Source organism: Homo sapiens, chromosome 12 (assembly GCF_000001405.40).
Source record: "Homo sapiens chromosome 12, GRCh38.p14 Primary Assembly".
In the NCBI taxonomy this organism is placed as follows: Eukaryota; Metazoa; Chordata; class Mammalia; order Primates; family Hominidae; genus Homo; species Homo sapiens.
This window is the reverse complement of record NC_000012.12, coordinates 125002580-125018253: the sequence shown is the minus strand read 5'-3', so window position 1 is coordinate 125018253 and position 15674 is coordinate 125002580. Positions and strand designations below refer to the sequence as shown.

Genomic DNA, 15674 nt, shown 5'->3' with positions numbered 1-15674 from the left:
AGCAAAGTGAATGTTTTGGTGGCCAACTTGTTCCTCAGCGTGGGTCGGGTTTACACCTGCACACTTGTCAAGTCCTGATGGCTGCAGCAGGGGAAGCTGGCTCTGGGTGCAGCTGGCCAGCCGCCCCTCAGTGTGGAGAAGTGAGATTGGCAGGTCCCAGAACTGCACAGTGATGTACATTTTGAAGGAGGGCCCCTTTGTAAGCCCCCGAGTGTTTACTGAATACCGACCATGGGCTGGGCGCCATCCCACCACCCTACACACACAGTCATCCAGTCCTCATGACTCGCTGATAGGGTAAACAGCATTTTCCACACAAGGACTCCTTGCCCAGGGTCCCACAGCTAGGACAGGGCAGAGCTGGGATTTGGAACCAGGGGATCCAGTTTCCGGAGCCACACAACCCCTGCCCTGTGCCGACGCATCACTGAAGCACGATTCCTATTTTCCCCAGTTTACTGGAAACTTTGTTGGAAGTGGCCTCAGCAGCTTCAGAGGGGTAAGCAACACGATGAAGACATGAGCCTTAAATCCATCCTTCTAAGCCATCCTTCCAACTCCTGGACATGTGCTCTGTGCCAGCAGATCTAGAATGGGGACAAAGGCTGTGCCATCTATCGTGTGCTGAGCCCTTGAAATGTGACAAGTCAGAACTGATGTGCGCTCTAAGTGTCAAATAGAGACTGTCTCAAAGGCCTTAGTTACCCAAAAAACTGTGAGACACCTGATAATTTTCTATTAATTATAAGTTGTTTTTAATATATTGGGTTAACTAAAATATCTTATTAAAATTAATTTCACCTGGGCATGGTGGCACATGCCTGTAATCCCAGCACTCTGGGAGGCCAAGGCAGGCAGATCACTGGAGCTCAGGAGTTCGAGACCACCCTGGGCAACATGGCAAAACCCCATCTCTATAAAAAAAAAACATTAGGGGGGCACGGTGGCTCACGCCTGTAATCCTAGCACTTTGGGAGGCCGAGGCAGGTGGATCATGAGGTCAGGAGTTCGAGAATACCCTGGCCAAGATGGTGAAACCCCATCTCTACTAAAAAAAAATACAAAAATTAGCCAGGCATGGTGGCAGGTGCCTGTAATCCCAGCTACTCGGGAGACTGAGGCACGAGAATTGCTTGAACCCGGGAGGTGGAGGTTGCAGTGGTGAGATGAGATCGGCCACTGCATTCTAGCCTGGGCGACAGAGCAATACTCGGTCTCAGAAAAAAAAAAATAATAATAATAATACAAACGTTAGCCAGATGTGGTGGTGCACACTTGTGGTCCCAGCTAGTTGGGAAGCTGAGGTGGGAGGATCACCTGAGCCTGGGTTGGTGGAGGTTGCAGTGAGCTGGGATTGCACCACTGCACTCCAGCCTGGGCAACAGAGCAAGACTCTGTCTCAAAAAAAAAAAAAAAAAAAAAAAAAAAGGCTGGGCGCAGTGGCTCATGCCCGTAATCCCAGCACTTTGGGAGGCTGAGGCGGGCGGATCACGAGGTCAGGAGCTCAAGACCAGCCTGGCCAACATAGTGAAACCCTGTCTCTACTAAAAATACAGAAAAATTAGCCGGGTGTGGTGGTGCATGCCTGTAATCCCAGCTACTTGGCAGGCTGGGGCAGGAGAATCACTTGAACCCAGGAGGCAGAGGTTGCAGTGAGCCGAGATAGCGCCATTGCACTTCAGCTTGGGCAATAGAGTGAGACTTCGTCCCTCCTACCCCCCACTCCCCACCCCCTCCCCCCCAAAAAAGGAAGAAAAACTAATTTCACCATTTCTTTTTACTCTTTTGACATGGTTACTAGAAAACTTCACATCACCTAGGGGGCTCACATTTTTTTGCTATTAGACCATTCGGGGCTACAGAGTTCCCATTTTAACCAGACTCAAAAAAAAAAAAAACACTGAAGAAAGAAATTATAGAATTGTGCTCACAGAAACCTTTTTTACCAGAATATCCAACGTTGGTGTATGGCTTCCTGTAAAGCATTTTGCACTCAAACTTCTACGCATAAGACACGAATTCCAAAGGGCTTCGGATGCCTTGAAGCTTACGCATCAAACAGAACTAGAAAAGCTTCGACACGGAAGCAAGCTCGTTTCGCCTCCAGAACGCGCCAGCTGCTCCCCTGATGAATGCAGGCATTCAGGGCTCGTGGATCCGCTGCCGATGCCTCTATTCTGGGCTTCTTCCATATGATTAGGAGGCTGTTCCTACTCTGTAGTTTTTCATTCCAAGCTGCGTGCGATTTTCTGCAATCAGGTTTGTTTCTCCAGGGTTCAATGGGTGGCGACGAAAACACAGAGAGTTTGACAATCCGGGCAGGTGGTGGATACGGAAGCTAAGAGGATTGCACGCGGTGGCTGCATCTGGGGGAGGGTGCGTTAACTCTGCCAAGTCCCTGGAGGGGCCATGAGTGGCCCCAGGGGGCTGCCAGGTGCACAGTGTCCTCTGGCTATGCTGACGCCTCTGATTCTTTGTCTGAGCAGTGAGGTGACTGAGTTGGCCTAAGGCCTCTTAAAGGTTGAACTCAATGAATTAAGGCTGGAGACATTTCTGAATGGCCTGGGGTGTCAACAGGTATGAACCAGTGTGCCCATCATGGCCAGTGGACCCCACTCCCCCATCTCTGGGTGTCAAGCACCAATGGGCGCTGCTGAGAGATTCCGCATGTAACAGGGCTATGGTATAATGGTTTCCCGTGACTGCCGCAACAAACCACTACCAACTGGGTGGTTTACAACAGAAATTCATCCACTTGCGGTTCTGGAGGCTGGAAGTCTGAAATCAAGGTCTTGGTGGGGCCACACTCCCTCTGAAAGTTCAAGGGAGGATCCTTCCTCGCCTCTTCCAGCTTCTGGTGGTCCCAGTGTTCCTTGGCTTGTGGCTCCGTCCCTCCAGTCCCTGTTTCTCATTTCGCATGGCCGTCTTCTCCCTATGTTTCTTGGTGTTTCTGTGTCCAAATTCCCCACTTCTTATAAGGACAGCAATCATTACACTGAGGGTCCACCCTAATCCAAGACGATCTCATTTAACTTTATCACATCTGCAGACCCCACTCCCAAACAAGGGCTCACTCACAGGTCCAGGATTAGGACTGGAACACATATTCTTGAGGAGCACATTTCAGCCCACATGACTGGCTAAGCAGTGGGACCCACAGCCCTCCTGCTCTTATTAACCAAGGGTGGGCTGGGTGTGGTGGCTCACGCCTACAATCTCAGCACTTTGGGAGGCTGAAACAGTAGAATGGTTTGAGCCCAAGAGTTTGAGACCAGCCTGGGCAACATGGTAAGACCCTGTCTCTACAGAAAATTCAAAAATTAGCCAGGTGTGGTGGCATGGGCCTGTGGTCCCAGCTACTCGGGAGGCTGAGGTGGGAGGATCACGAGCCCAGGAAGTTGAGGCTGTAGTGAGCTGTGATTGAGCCACTGCACTCCAGCCTGGGCAACAGAGTGAGATCCTAAACAAAAACAAACAAAAAGGGCCTCTTTGTGCCAGGTGCAGAGCTGGGGCCAGAGTGCAGCCTGGAGATGCCAGGCCTAGGCTGTTGACACAAATGATGTGGTTTATGACAACACCTGCGTTCCCTCTGGGAGTCTAGAATTTTGACACGTGTCAAGCAGAGGGTGACTACATGACCAGCCCCCAGTAAAAAGCCTGGGCAGGGAGTCCTTGGTGGGCACCCTCTGCTGGGGGAATTAAGTGTGTCCCGTATGACTCCACAGGGAGAGAACTCTGAAGCTTGGGCCTGGCCTGCCCGGGAATTCGCGCACCTTTTCCCTTTGCTGATGGTGTTTGCGTCCTTCCGTCACAATAAATCACGGCTGTGAGGACAACTATATGCTGAGTCCTGCCAGTGCTCCTAGGGAACCGGTGAGCCTGTAGATGGTCTTAGGAACCCTGCCACATGCAGCAACTGCAGACCTTCCCGTGAGACAGGTGGCAGCTGGGACCAGGGACCAGGGCGGTGGGGCTGGAAAGAGCCCAGCTGGGGAATTTCCTCTGGAAAGGCCCAGGGGAAGAGCGGCCTCCACCTTGTGGACAGAAGGAGAGCAGTGGAGCGGGGGCAGCTAGGAGATCCCTGTTTACCTGGCACACCATGGGGCACGGTAGAGAAAACGGGAAGGTTACTTCATCCTGAGAGCATGGGATGCCTCTGAAGCTCTTAAGGCGGTAAGGGACAAGGTCTCCTCTGGGTATAAAAGCTGTACACCCTGGGCACTCTGCCCGGGTTAGCTCCTGTCACCCACCGATGGAATGCAGGTGGAGGTGGGGCAGAGCCACCTGGGAAGGGGAGTGTAAGGCTGGGGGTAGCACAGGCTGCAGGACTGGACTAGGAGTGCCCAGCTCAGTTACCATGACCGTTGCTGCCTTGCCATCCGCCAAGACCAGTATCAGTGCCCCCTCCCACATGTAGAAAGGGAGGGGCCGTGCCTCACCAATGTTCTCTTCCTGATTATAAACGTGTGACTAGCACTGCACTATCAAACTGGACTACCCTCCTCCCCTAGCCCACAAAACCAGGGGCCAGCTCCCCTGGCAATTCTTGCCCTGTGCGGTGGGTATGGTGGATGGGCTGGTGCAGCATCAGGTGACACCTGCTCCCAGGCTGCCTTCCTGGATGGCAGAAGCTGGAGAGCTAAGAACCGCATTAGCCTGCCTCCCTCGCAGCTAGGGACTGGACAGAAAGTAAGTTCCACCTGGCAGTTCCCCCATACACACACGACTTTGGAAATTAAGTGAAGTGTTGCAGCTGATATGCATGGTTCCAGAAATGGCAAGGGTCCCTGCACCCACATGCAAAGTCTAGTTGTTGTGGCGGCAGCAGTGGCCTCCTGGTCCTCAAATTATACTACAGTTGTGTGACTTCGAACTCAACGGTTTCAACAGCTGCAACCCTGGACAGCCAGTTCGGCAGTGTCTGAGGCCATGCATCTCTTCCTCAGCCTTTCTGATGGTTCTGTGAGTGTCTCTGTCTCATGAAATCCCCTTCTGCCTAAATAACTAGTCATTTCTTGCACGGATGCCAGTAAGCCAGAGCACTATACCTCTGGTCCATGTGTTTTGCACACAAATTGGCACTCCCACTACCCAGTCGCACCTTATCCTAAGTGGCATCTGGGAAATCTCAGCTTTGATGGGCCATTTGTTTTTTATTTTTATGATTATTTGAGAGGAGTCTTGCTCTGTCGTCCAGTCTGGAGTACAGTGGCATGATCATAGCTCACTGCAGCCTCGAATTCCTCATCTCAGGCAATCCTCCTGCCTCAGCCTCCCAAGTGGATGGGGACTACAGGTGCACATCACTGCACCCAGCAATTTTTTTGTACTTTTTTTTTATAGAGATGGGATCTCACCATGTTGCCCAGGCTGGTCTTGAATTCTTGGGTTCAAGCAACCCTCCCACCTTGGTCTCCCAAAGTGCTGGGATTACAGGCATGAGCCACCATGCCTGGCCTATATATGAGACTATTAAAATAAAAAATGTTCACTCATATCCTCACTGACCAGCCCTCCGCAACCTTCTCATGTATTACTCACTGTGAGTACCAGTTCCACACTATGAGAACCACCAAAATAGAATGACACCTTACGTGAATGCCACCCCTACACCTACCGTCAAGTCCAAGAACATCCAAGAGCTCGGTCCAGACTTTCCACAGTGTCTCCACGAACATATCCACTCCCAGCACAAATCTCTCAGTCAGCCTGGCCAAGAACTGCAGAAACAAGAAAACGGTCATCACCCAATCACTGTTTTCCTCCATCAGTCAAGCAGTGAACTGGGGAGCTTGGGAGTTTATACCTGGGAAGGGAAAAATAGTGAGCCCATGATGAATACCACACATGTGGACTACTGGCCCAGGGGATTGACTTGAACTGGGTACTGATCACAGCCTAACTGAGAAAAACTGGTGAAAACGACCCCTTCCTTGCAAGGGCTGAACAAGGCACCTATGGAGGCTGGGACTCTCTGCAGGGCCGCGTTACGCCGCTTGCCATTGCTCCTGCTGTCTTTCATGCTTCCTCTTGGGTCAGGATCTCTGCCTTCCTCTGCCTGATTTCTCTAAAGAGACAGGGTCTCACTGTTGACCAGGCTGGAGTGCAGTGGTGCAATGATAGCTCACTGCACCCTCAAACTCCCGGGCTCAAGCAATCCTGCCTTAGCTTCCCAAGTAGCTAGGGCTACAGGTGCAGCCACCACACCAGGCTTTATTATTATTTTGTAGAGATGGGCTCTTGCTATGTTGTCCAGGCTGGTCTCAAACTCTAAGCCTCAAGCAGTCCTCCTGCCTGGCCCTCCCAAAGTCCTGGGATTATAGGCGTGAAACACTGCACCGCACCCTGCGGGTTTCTCATTTTTAAAGAGTGGAAGTTTCTGCTCCAAGGAAGCTGGTAATGATACAGCCCCATGCTCTATCCAACTCTAAGGACCCTGAGCCTCTGAGGTCTTTATTTGCCCTCCAGGTGACACAGGGCTAAAGAAACATGAATACAAGGTACAGCCTCATTTTAACTTTTTTTTTTAAAAAATTAGTGATATTGTATACATGTAGCATAAAACTCAAGCCTACCAACAGGTATTCAGTGGAGACTAAGCCTTCCCTCTCATTTCCTGGCAACTGGAATCCCCCTCCGGAGGAACCCTTCCTTAGACGTGCCAGGTGAATAATGGCACAGACATATTCTTTCTGCAATGGCAGCACAGGTGTACAGCTGAGCTGCTTTGCTCATGCAACACTCTGTCTTGGAGATACTCACACTCAGACCACACAGAGCTGCCTCATCCTTTTTAAACATGGTACACCTGGAGCCAGGCCCATACTCATGGATACCTACATGGTTTCCAGCCTTGGCTATTACAGGGGAAAAAACAGCGAGCCCATGATGAATGCCACCAAGTGGTCTACTGGCCCAGGGGATTAACTTGAACTTGATACTAATTGATGACAGCCCAACAACTGAGCAAAACTGAGTAAAACACGCCCCTTCCCTTGTAAGGGCTGACCAAGGTATCTATGGGGGCTGGGACTCTGCAGGGCTGCATCACGCAGAGTGCTGCCATAATAGAACCCACCTACATGGGCCACTCGGCTCACGTGTGAAGGGTAAATGCCTCCGTGAATTGGCTACAGCTTTTTTTTTTTTTTTTTTTTTTTAAGACAGGGTCTCGCTCTGTCACTCCGGCTGGAGTGCAGTGGTATGATCTCGGCTCACTGCAGCCTCCACCTCCCAAGTTCAAGCAATCCTCCCACCTCAGCCTCCCGAGTAGCTGGTACTACAGGCACGCACCATCACACTCAGGTAATTTTCATATTTTTAGTAGAGACGGGGTTTCACCATGTTGGCCAGGCTGGTCTTGAACTCCTGACCTCAGGTGATCTGCCCACCCCGGCCTCCCAAAGTGCTGGGATTATAGGCGTGAGCCACCACACCCGGGCAGCTACAGTATTTTATGTTTTAATTTAATTTTATTTTATTTGGAGTCTCGCTTTGTCGCCAGGCTGGAGTGCAAGTGGCACGATCTCGGCTCACTGCAACCTCCTCCTCCCAGGTTCAAGTGATTCTCCTGCCTCAGCCTCTCGAGTAGCTGCGACTACAGGCATGCGCCACCATGCCCAGCTAATTTTGTATTTTCAGTAGAGATGGGGTTTCTCCATGTTGGCCAGGATGGTCTCGATCTCTTCACCTTGTGATCCACCCATCTCAGCTTCCCAAAGTGCTGGGATTACAGGCATGAGCCACCATGCCTGGCCGGCTACAGCATTTTAAACTGGATATCCTGACTGGATGGTTCCTACAGGACAGAGGAGATAAGAGCAGGGCTGAATCAGGGACCAGGAGAGTAGAAAATGCCAATAACCTCAGAGGTGGCACTGTGGCTGAGAAAGCACAAGCCAGGCTGTCGACTGCATGGGTTCAAATCCCAGCTCTGCCTCTTACTAGCTGGGTGTCCATGAGCATATTATATATATTCATAAGCTCTCTGGGGCTGCAGGGTTTCCACTAACAATGGAGATAACAGTACCTACTTCATCTGGTTATTGCGAGCTTTACATGGGATATTCACGTGAAATGCTTTGAGCACATGGTAAGTGTTCAAGACTCCTGTTGACATCCACATCCAATATTCTTCTTCTTTTTTTTTTTTGAGACAGGGTCTCACTCTGTCACCCAGGCTGGAGTGCACTGGTGCAATCTCGACTCAAGGCAACCTTCGCCTCCTGGGTTCAAGAGATTCTCCTGCTTCAGCCTCCTGAGTAGCTGGAATTCCAGGCGCCTGCCATCATACCCAGCTAATTTTTGTATTTTTAGTAGAGATGGGGTTTCACCATGCTGGCCAGGCTGGTCTCGAACTGCTGACCTCAAGTGACCCGCCTGCCTAGGCGTCCCAAAGTGCTGGGACTATAAGCATGAGCCACCATGCCCGGCCGATGTCCAATATTCTAACAGAAGTATTGACTCCACGATGTCCTGTGAGGACACCAACATTTTAGCCCTAAAAAACAGTATAGAGGCTGGGCACGGTGGCTCACACCTATAATCCCAGCACTTTGGGAGGCTGAGGTGGGAGGACTGCTTTAGCCCAGGAGTTCGAGACCAGCCTGGGCAACAAAATGAGACCCCCCCCCCATCTCTAATTTACCTTAAGAAAACATTATAGGCTGTGCCTGGTGGCTCACGCCTGTAATCTCAGCACTTTGGGAAGCCGAGGCGAGTAGATCACCTGAGGCCAGGAGTTCAAGACCAGCCTGGCCAACATGGCGAAACCTTGTCTCTACTGAAAACACAAAAATTAGCTGGGCGTGGTGGTGCACGCCTGTAATCCCAGCTACTTGGGAGGCTGAGGCAGGAGAATTGCTTGAACCTGGGAGGCAGAGGTTGCAATGAGCCGAGATCATGCCACTGCACTCCAGCCTGGGTGATAGAGGGAGACAGCATCTCAAAAAAAAAAAAAAAAAAAAAAAAGATGGCTGGGTGCGGTGGCCCACACCTGTAATCCCAGCACTTTGGGAGGCCAAGGCAGGTGGATCACCTGAGGTCAGGAGTTTGAGACCAGCCTGACTAACATGCTGAAACCCCATCTCTACTAAAAATACAAAAAAAATTAGCTGAGTGTAGTGTTGTGCGCCTGTAATTCCAGCTACTTGGGAGAGACTGAGGCAGGAGAATCGCTTGAACCTGGGAGGTGGAGGTTACACTGAGTCAAGATCACGCCATTGCACTCCAACCTGGGCAACAGAGCGAGACTCTGTCTCAAAAAAAAAAAAAATTTTCATAGGAGTGTGAACCCTATTGTGAACTGCATGCGAGGGATCTAGGTTACATGTTCCTTGTGAGATCCTAATGCCTGATGATCTGCCACTGTCCGCGTCACCCCCAGAAGGAACAGATGCAACTGTCTAGTTGCAGGAAAACAAGCTCAGTGCTCCCACTGATTCTACATTATGGTGAGTTGTATAATTATTTCATTCTATATTACAATGTAATGATAATAGAAATAAAGTACACAATAAACGTAATGCGCCTGAATCATCCCGAAACCATCCCCCGACCCAGTCCATGGAAAAACTGTCTTCCACAAAACTGGTCCCGCTGCCAAAAAGGTTGAGGACCGCTGCATTAGAAAGAAGAGGAGGGTGGCCAGGCGTGGTGGCTCATGCCTGTAATCCCAGCACTTGGGAGGCCGAGGCGGGCGGATCACAAGGTCAGGAGATCTAGACCATCCTGGCTAACACGGTGAAACCCCGTCTCTACTAAAAATACAAAAAATTAGCCATGCGTGGTGGTGGGCGCCTGTAGTCCCAGCTACACAGGAGGCTGAAGAAGGAGAATGGTGTGAACCCGGGAGGCGGAGCTTGCAGTGAGCCGAGATCGCGCCACTGCACTCCAGCCTGGGCGACAGAGCGAGACTCTGTCTCAAAAAAATCAAAAAAAAAAAAAAAAAAAAAAGAAAGAAGAGGAGGGTGACTGCCCCTCCCTTGGGTGGGGGTAGGCGGCGGGATCTGGGAGGAGGGCCTGCAGAAGACCAGCATGAATCAGAACCACACCCATGAAGAGGTCTTCCAGAGATTCCATGTCACGGTACACATCCCAGCTCAGTGGTTCTCAGAGTGTGGTGGTGCCCGGACTAGCAGCAGCAGCATCACCCAGGAGCTTGCCAGAAATGCAGACTCTCAGGGCCCCATCCAGATCCACTGCCTCAGACTCTCCAGGGATGGAGCCCAGCAATCTGTTTCCACAGCCCTCCTGGTGATGCTGAGGCACACTCCAGGTTGAGGACCTTGACTGAGAGAGGCAGTTGCACATGTGCCTTCAGAGCGCCACTGCACTAAAAAGCTGCAGGCAGGCCAGACATACGTGCACAATGGAAGAGACGCGTAGTAAGACATGATCTGCTCACAGAATGGAGTCCAATTCCACAGCAACAAAAACAACGATGGACATATCCAGCAACATCGAGAAATAGCAGAAAATAATAATAATGAGTAAATAAATAGATTACAGAATGTACGCTCTTTTTTTTTTTTTGGAGACAGGGTCTTGCTCTGTTGCCCAGCCTGGAGTACAGTGGGGGTAATTACGGCTCACTGCAGTCTCAAACTCCTGGGTTCAAGCAATCCTCCCACCTCAGCCTCCCACGTAGCTGGGACCACAGGCAGCTGCTACATGCCCAGCTCTTCCTGTTACATTTTTTTTTCCTGAGACAGAGTCTTGCTTTGTCACCTGGGCTACAGTGCATTAGCGCCATCTCAGCTCACTGCAACCTCCCCATCCCAGGTCCAAGCAATTCTCTTGCCTTAGCCTCCTGAGTAACTGGAATTACAGACACATGCCACCAAGCCTGGCTAGTTTTTGTAAAATAGTAGAGACAGGGTTTTCCTATGTTGGCTAGGCTGGTTTCGAACTTCTAACCTCAGGTGATCTGCCTGCCTCAGCCTCCCAAAGCACTGGGATTACAGGTGTGATCCACCGTGCTCAACCTACAATTATTTAAAGTATGTGTGACTTGTACATGTTTGTCAATACATGGCAATTTATTTGGGGGGGGCGGAGACAGAGTCTCACTCTGTCACCCAGGCTAGAGTACAGTGGTGCGACCTCGGCTCACTGCAACCTCTGCCTTGTGGATTCAAGCAATTCTCCTGCCTCAGCCTCCTAAGTAGCTGGGATTACAGGCATGTGCCACCATACCTGGCTAATTTTTATATTTTTAGTAGAGACAGGGTTTTGTCATGTTGGCCAAGCTGATCTCAAACTCCTGACCTCAGATGATCCACCCACCTTGACCTCCCAAAGTGCTGGGATTACAGGCGTGACCCACCGCGCCCAGATAATATATAGCAATTTCTATAATTTGTTCAAATGGAGGGAAAAAGAAAGGTTTTTGTGAGAAAAGAGTAGCAGGCCTTTAAAATGCCACCAAGTGCCCAGGAAAGGGTGCGTGGAAGCAATTATTCTGGGAGGAAGAGACTTTCCTGCTCACACTGTTGAACCTCTCTGTGCCTCAGTTTTCTCTGCTGTGGGAGAAATGGGACTAAGAGAGGATTCAAGAGCAGAACCTGTAAAGACCTCGGCGTGGCGCCCAGCACACGGCAGGTGCCCAGCGTGTCGGAGCAGCTGAGGTGGTTCTTGTCAGATTCATGGGTTGCAGGGTGGCAACCTGGAACTCCCTGCAAGCTGAGCAGTCACCTCCCATGTAACACAAGCTGACAGGCAGGTGCTCTGAAAACTGCCATGCCTGAGAAGCTGGCGTGCCTGAGGAGCTCCTAGCAGTGCTAAGAAAGGTGTAGGTCAGAGGTTCTTTCTCACGGTGGAAAGAACGGCACCTGTCCCCTCCTGAAAACTGGCCCCGGGCAGGAGAGGGTGAATTCGGGGAGGATCCCATCTCTTGCCGTTGAACCATTTGGCTGGAGAATTTGCTGTTCCCTGTGGGGCTGGGCCTGCCTGCTCTGGTGTGTGACACCCTGACCCACTTTGTGTGGATGGAGACACAGGAGCCCTAAGGGGAATAATATGGGCTGAACTCTGTCCCCCAAAAGGCTTATGTGGAAGCCCTAAACCCTAGGACCTCAGAATGGGACTGTATTTGGAGACAGGGTCTTTACAGAGGTGATTAAGCTGAAATGAGATATTTACGGTGGGCCCTAATCCGATGCGACTGGTGTCCTTATGCAAGTAGGAGAGCAGGACCCAGATAAACAGAGGAAAGACCACTCGAAGACACAGGGAGAGGGCGGCCATCTGCAAGCCAAGACGAGGGGCCTCAGGAGAAAGCAACCCTGGCACCTCGAGCTCAGATTTCCAGCCTCCAGAATGGGAGAAAATGTATGTCTGCTGTTTAGGCGACTGGGCTGCAGTGCACACAAACACAGGAGCTTACAGCGAAGCCCAAAGCCTGGAGGCAGTTCCAGCAGAAATCCGGTGAAAATGCAAGCCTGAATCTTATCGGGCCTCTAGATCTTTTTTTTTTTTTTAAACAGTCTTGCTCTGTCACCCAGGCTGAAGTGCAGTGGCGCGATCTCGGCTCACTGCAACCTCCGCTCCCCACCCCACGGGTTCAAGCAATTCTCATGCCTCAGCCTCCCGAGTAGCTGGGATTACAGGCGTAAGGCACCATGTCTGGCTAATTTTTTGTATTTTTAGTAGAGATGGGGTTTCAACCATGTTGGCCAAACTGGTCTTGAATTCCTGACCTCAAGTGATCTGCCCGCCTCGGCCTCCCAAAGTGCTGGGATTACAGGCATGAGCCACCATCCCTGGCCAGGCCTCTAGATCTAACCACTGGTTCTTGGGGATCTGGGAAATGGGACACAGGGAAACACCACCATGAGGATGCACCCAGCCAGATGCAGATGGTGGAGATGCTATGGGGTGAGACCCAGTTTCTCCACAGAATAAGATGGCATCCAAGAAAAAGCATGAGGTGGGGGCATTAAAATTAAAAGTGACTTAAATCATGATGATTTGCTGTACCCTGGATGTGATGGGATGAAAATGGTCCTTAACTCTGTGTCTTCCTCCCCAAAACCCATCACCCAGTCTCATTATGAGAAAAACATCAGACAAATTCCAATTGGGAGCATCCTACAAAATCCCTGACCGGCTGGGCGCTGTGGCTCACACCTGTAATCCCAGCATTTTGGGAGGCCATGGCAGGCAGATCACTTGAGTTCAGGAGTTCAAGACCAGCCTGGCCAACATGGTGAAACCTCTTGACTCTACTAAAAACACAAAACTTAGCCGGGTGTGATGGCATGCAACTGTGGTCCCAGTTACTCAGGAGGCTGAGGCAGGAGAATTGCTTGAATCTGGGAGGCAGAGGTTGCAGTGAGCAGAGATCACACCACTTCACTCCAGCCTGCGTGACACAGGGAGATTTGAAAAGAAAAGAAAAAGGCCTGATCAATGCTCCTGAAAACTGTCAAGGTCATCAAAAACAAGTAGAGCCTGAGAAACTCCCAGCCGAGAGGACCTCGGGAGACCTGAGGACCAAATATCGGGTGGGATCCCAGATGGGATCCTGGGACAGAAAAGGGTGGCAGGAAAAACTACAGAAGTCTGAATAAAGTACAGACTTCAGCGAATAATTGATGTACCAATATTGGTTCATTAATAGAACATGAATATACAACGTTAATAATGGGGGAAACAGGGTGAGGGGTATATGGCGACTCCCTGTATTATCTTCACAATTTTTCTATAACTCTAAAAGAAAAGACTATTTTTTAAACTCTACTTATAAAAAGAATAAAGTTAATTTTTTTTTAAAAAAGGCTTAGGGCCAGGCATGGTGGCTAACGCCTGTAATCCCAACACTTTGGGAGGCCAAGGCCAGAGGATCGTTTGAGTCTGGGAGTTAGAGACTAGCCTGGGCAACATGGCCAGACACTGTCTCTACAAAAAATTAAAAAATTAGCTGGGCATGGTGGCATGTACCTGTGGTTCCAGCTACTCGGGAGAAGGCTGGGGGATCATCGAACCTGGGAGGTTGAAGCTGCAAGTGAGCTGTGTTCGTGCCACTGCACTCCAGTCTGGGTGACAAAGCAAGACCTTGTCTCAAAAAAATTTTAAAAAAATTTAAAAATTTAAAAAAGAGACTTAAAAGACACTTCATGTGTAGACTTTGTTTAGATACAAATTCAAACAAAAAGTTTTGTAAAGACATTTTGGGCCAGGGAAATCAGAAAATGGACCTGCATTAGATGTTAAGGAATTGTTATAAGCTGTAATGATGGTATTGTGTGTTGTGTGTGTGTGTGTGTGTGTGTGTGTGTGTGTGTGTGTGTGTGTGTTTTTGAGATGGAGTCTCGCTCTGTCGCCCAAGCTGGAGTGCAGTGGTGCAATCTTGGTTCACTGCAACCTCCGCCTCCTGGGCTCAAGCAATTCTCCTGCCTCAGCCTCCTGAGTAGCTGGGATTATAGGTGAGCGCCACCATGCCCAGCTAATTTTTATATTTTTAGTAGAGATGGGGTTTCACTATGTTGGCCAGGCTAGTCTCAAACTCCTGACCTCTAGTGACCCACCCGCCTCGGCCTCCCAAAGTGCTGGGATTACAGGCATGAGCCACCATGCCCGGCCGGTATTGTGGTTTTGATTTTCACAAAATTTTTATTGTTAAAGATGCTAACTGAAATATGCAAAGGTGAACTAATGTATTGGATTAGCTTTAAAATATTATTCCAGGCACCCTCAAAAAAATTTAGGAAGGAAAGAAGTAACCAGAATGGCAGAAAGTTGCTACATGGGAAGACCTGGGTGAACAAGGGTTCACTCTACTCTCCCTACCTTTGGTTATGTTGGACAATTTTCAGAATGGAAAGTTGAAATAAGGGGACCAGGTGAGCAAACTGTGGATGCCTGAGGACTCAGACAAACAAGGCCCAGCCATCGCCTCCATGGGAGGGAACAAGATTGCTTCAAGCCTGGGATTTCATCAGCGCTCTTCTTGCAGCAGTCAGGCGGGGGACATCCAACACCCGGGGACATCCAACACCGGGGTTGGGTGACAATGGCCTTCCTGCATCCTAATCTCGCTTTACCTCCATCACCCTCAGGCACATGCAAACGGGTCCTATGGAAAATCAGGCCATGAGGGCAAAGGCATCTTGATAAGCAAGCCAGGGAGAGGGGACGGGAGATTCTGCCATTCAGAGGTTTCCCAAGCATCTGAAGAACACACAGAAATGCAAAAGCCAGATGAACGGAAAATGCTGGAACATAACATACAGACCACGTATGAACCACAGAGGGGAAAGGGCACCCCCAGCGCAGTGGGCCTGCCCAGCCTCAACCCAGAGATCAAATTCAGCGTCAACCAACGAGAATGCGATGGCACAAACAGACACCACGAGCCCCGATATGGTACTGCCTCAGCAAGGACACATGATGCCTTCTGCAGAATTCTTGCCATGAAAGCTAAGTCTGAGCCTAACCCGGAGGAGATAATCAGAATAATACAATACACACTGTGGGACATTTCAAAAGACAGTTCTGGGCCAGGTGTGGTGGCTCACGCCTGTAATCCCAGCACTTTGGGAGGCCAAGGTGAGTGGATCACGAGGTCAGGAGATCGAGACCATCCTGGCTAACACAGTGAAACTCTGTCTGTACTAAAAATACAAAAAATTAGCTGGGCGTGGTGGCGGGTGCCTGTAGTCCCAGCTACTCGG

General features: G+C 50.2%; 1 protein-coding gene across 2 annotated transcripts in view; it reads right to left on the bottom strand.

The window, feature by feature from the left end:
- Window positions 1-15674, bottom strand: part of BRI3BP (BRI3 binding protein) — a 57523-nt gene that overhangs the window by 32914 nt on the left and 8935 nt on the right. For both annotated transcript variants that reach the window (XM_011537940.3, NM_080626.6), the window contains exon 2: window positions 5618-5720. In XM_011537940.3, the coding sequence (XP_011536242.1) occupies window positions 5618-5720 (103 nt within the window). The remainder of the gene's footprint in view (window positions 1-5617; window positions 5721-15674) is intronic.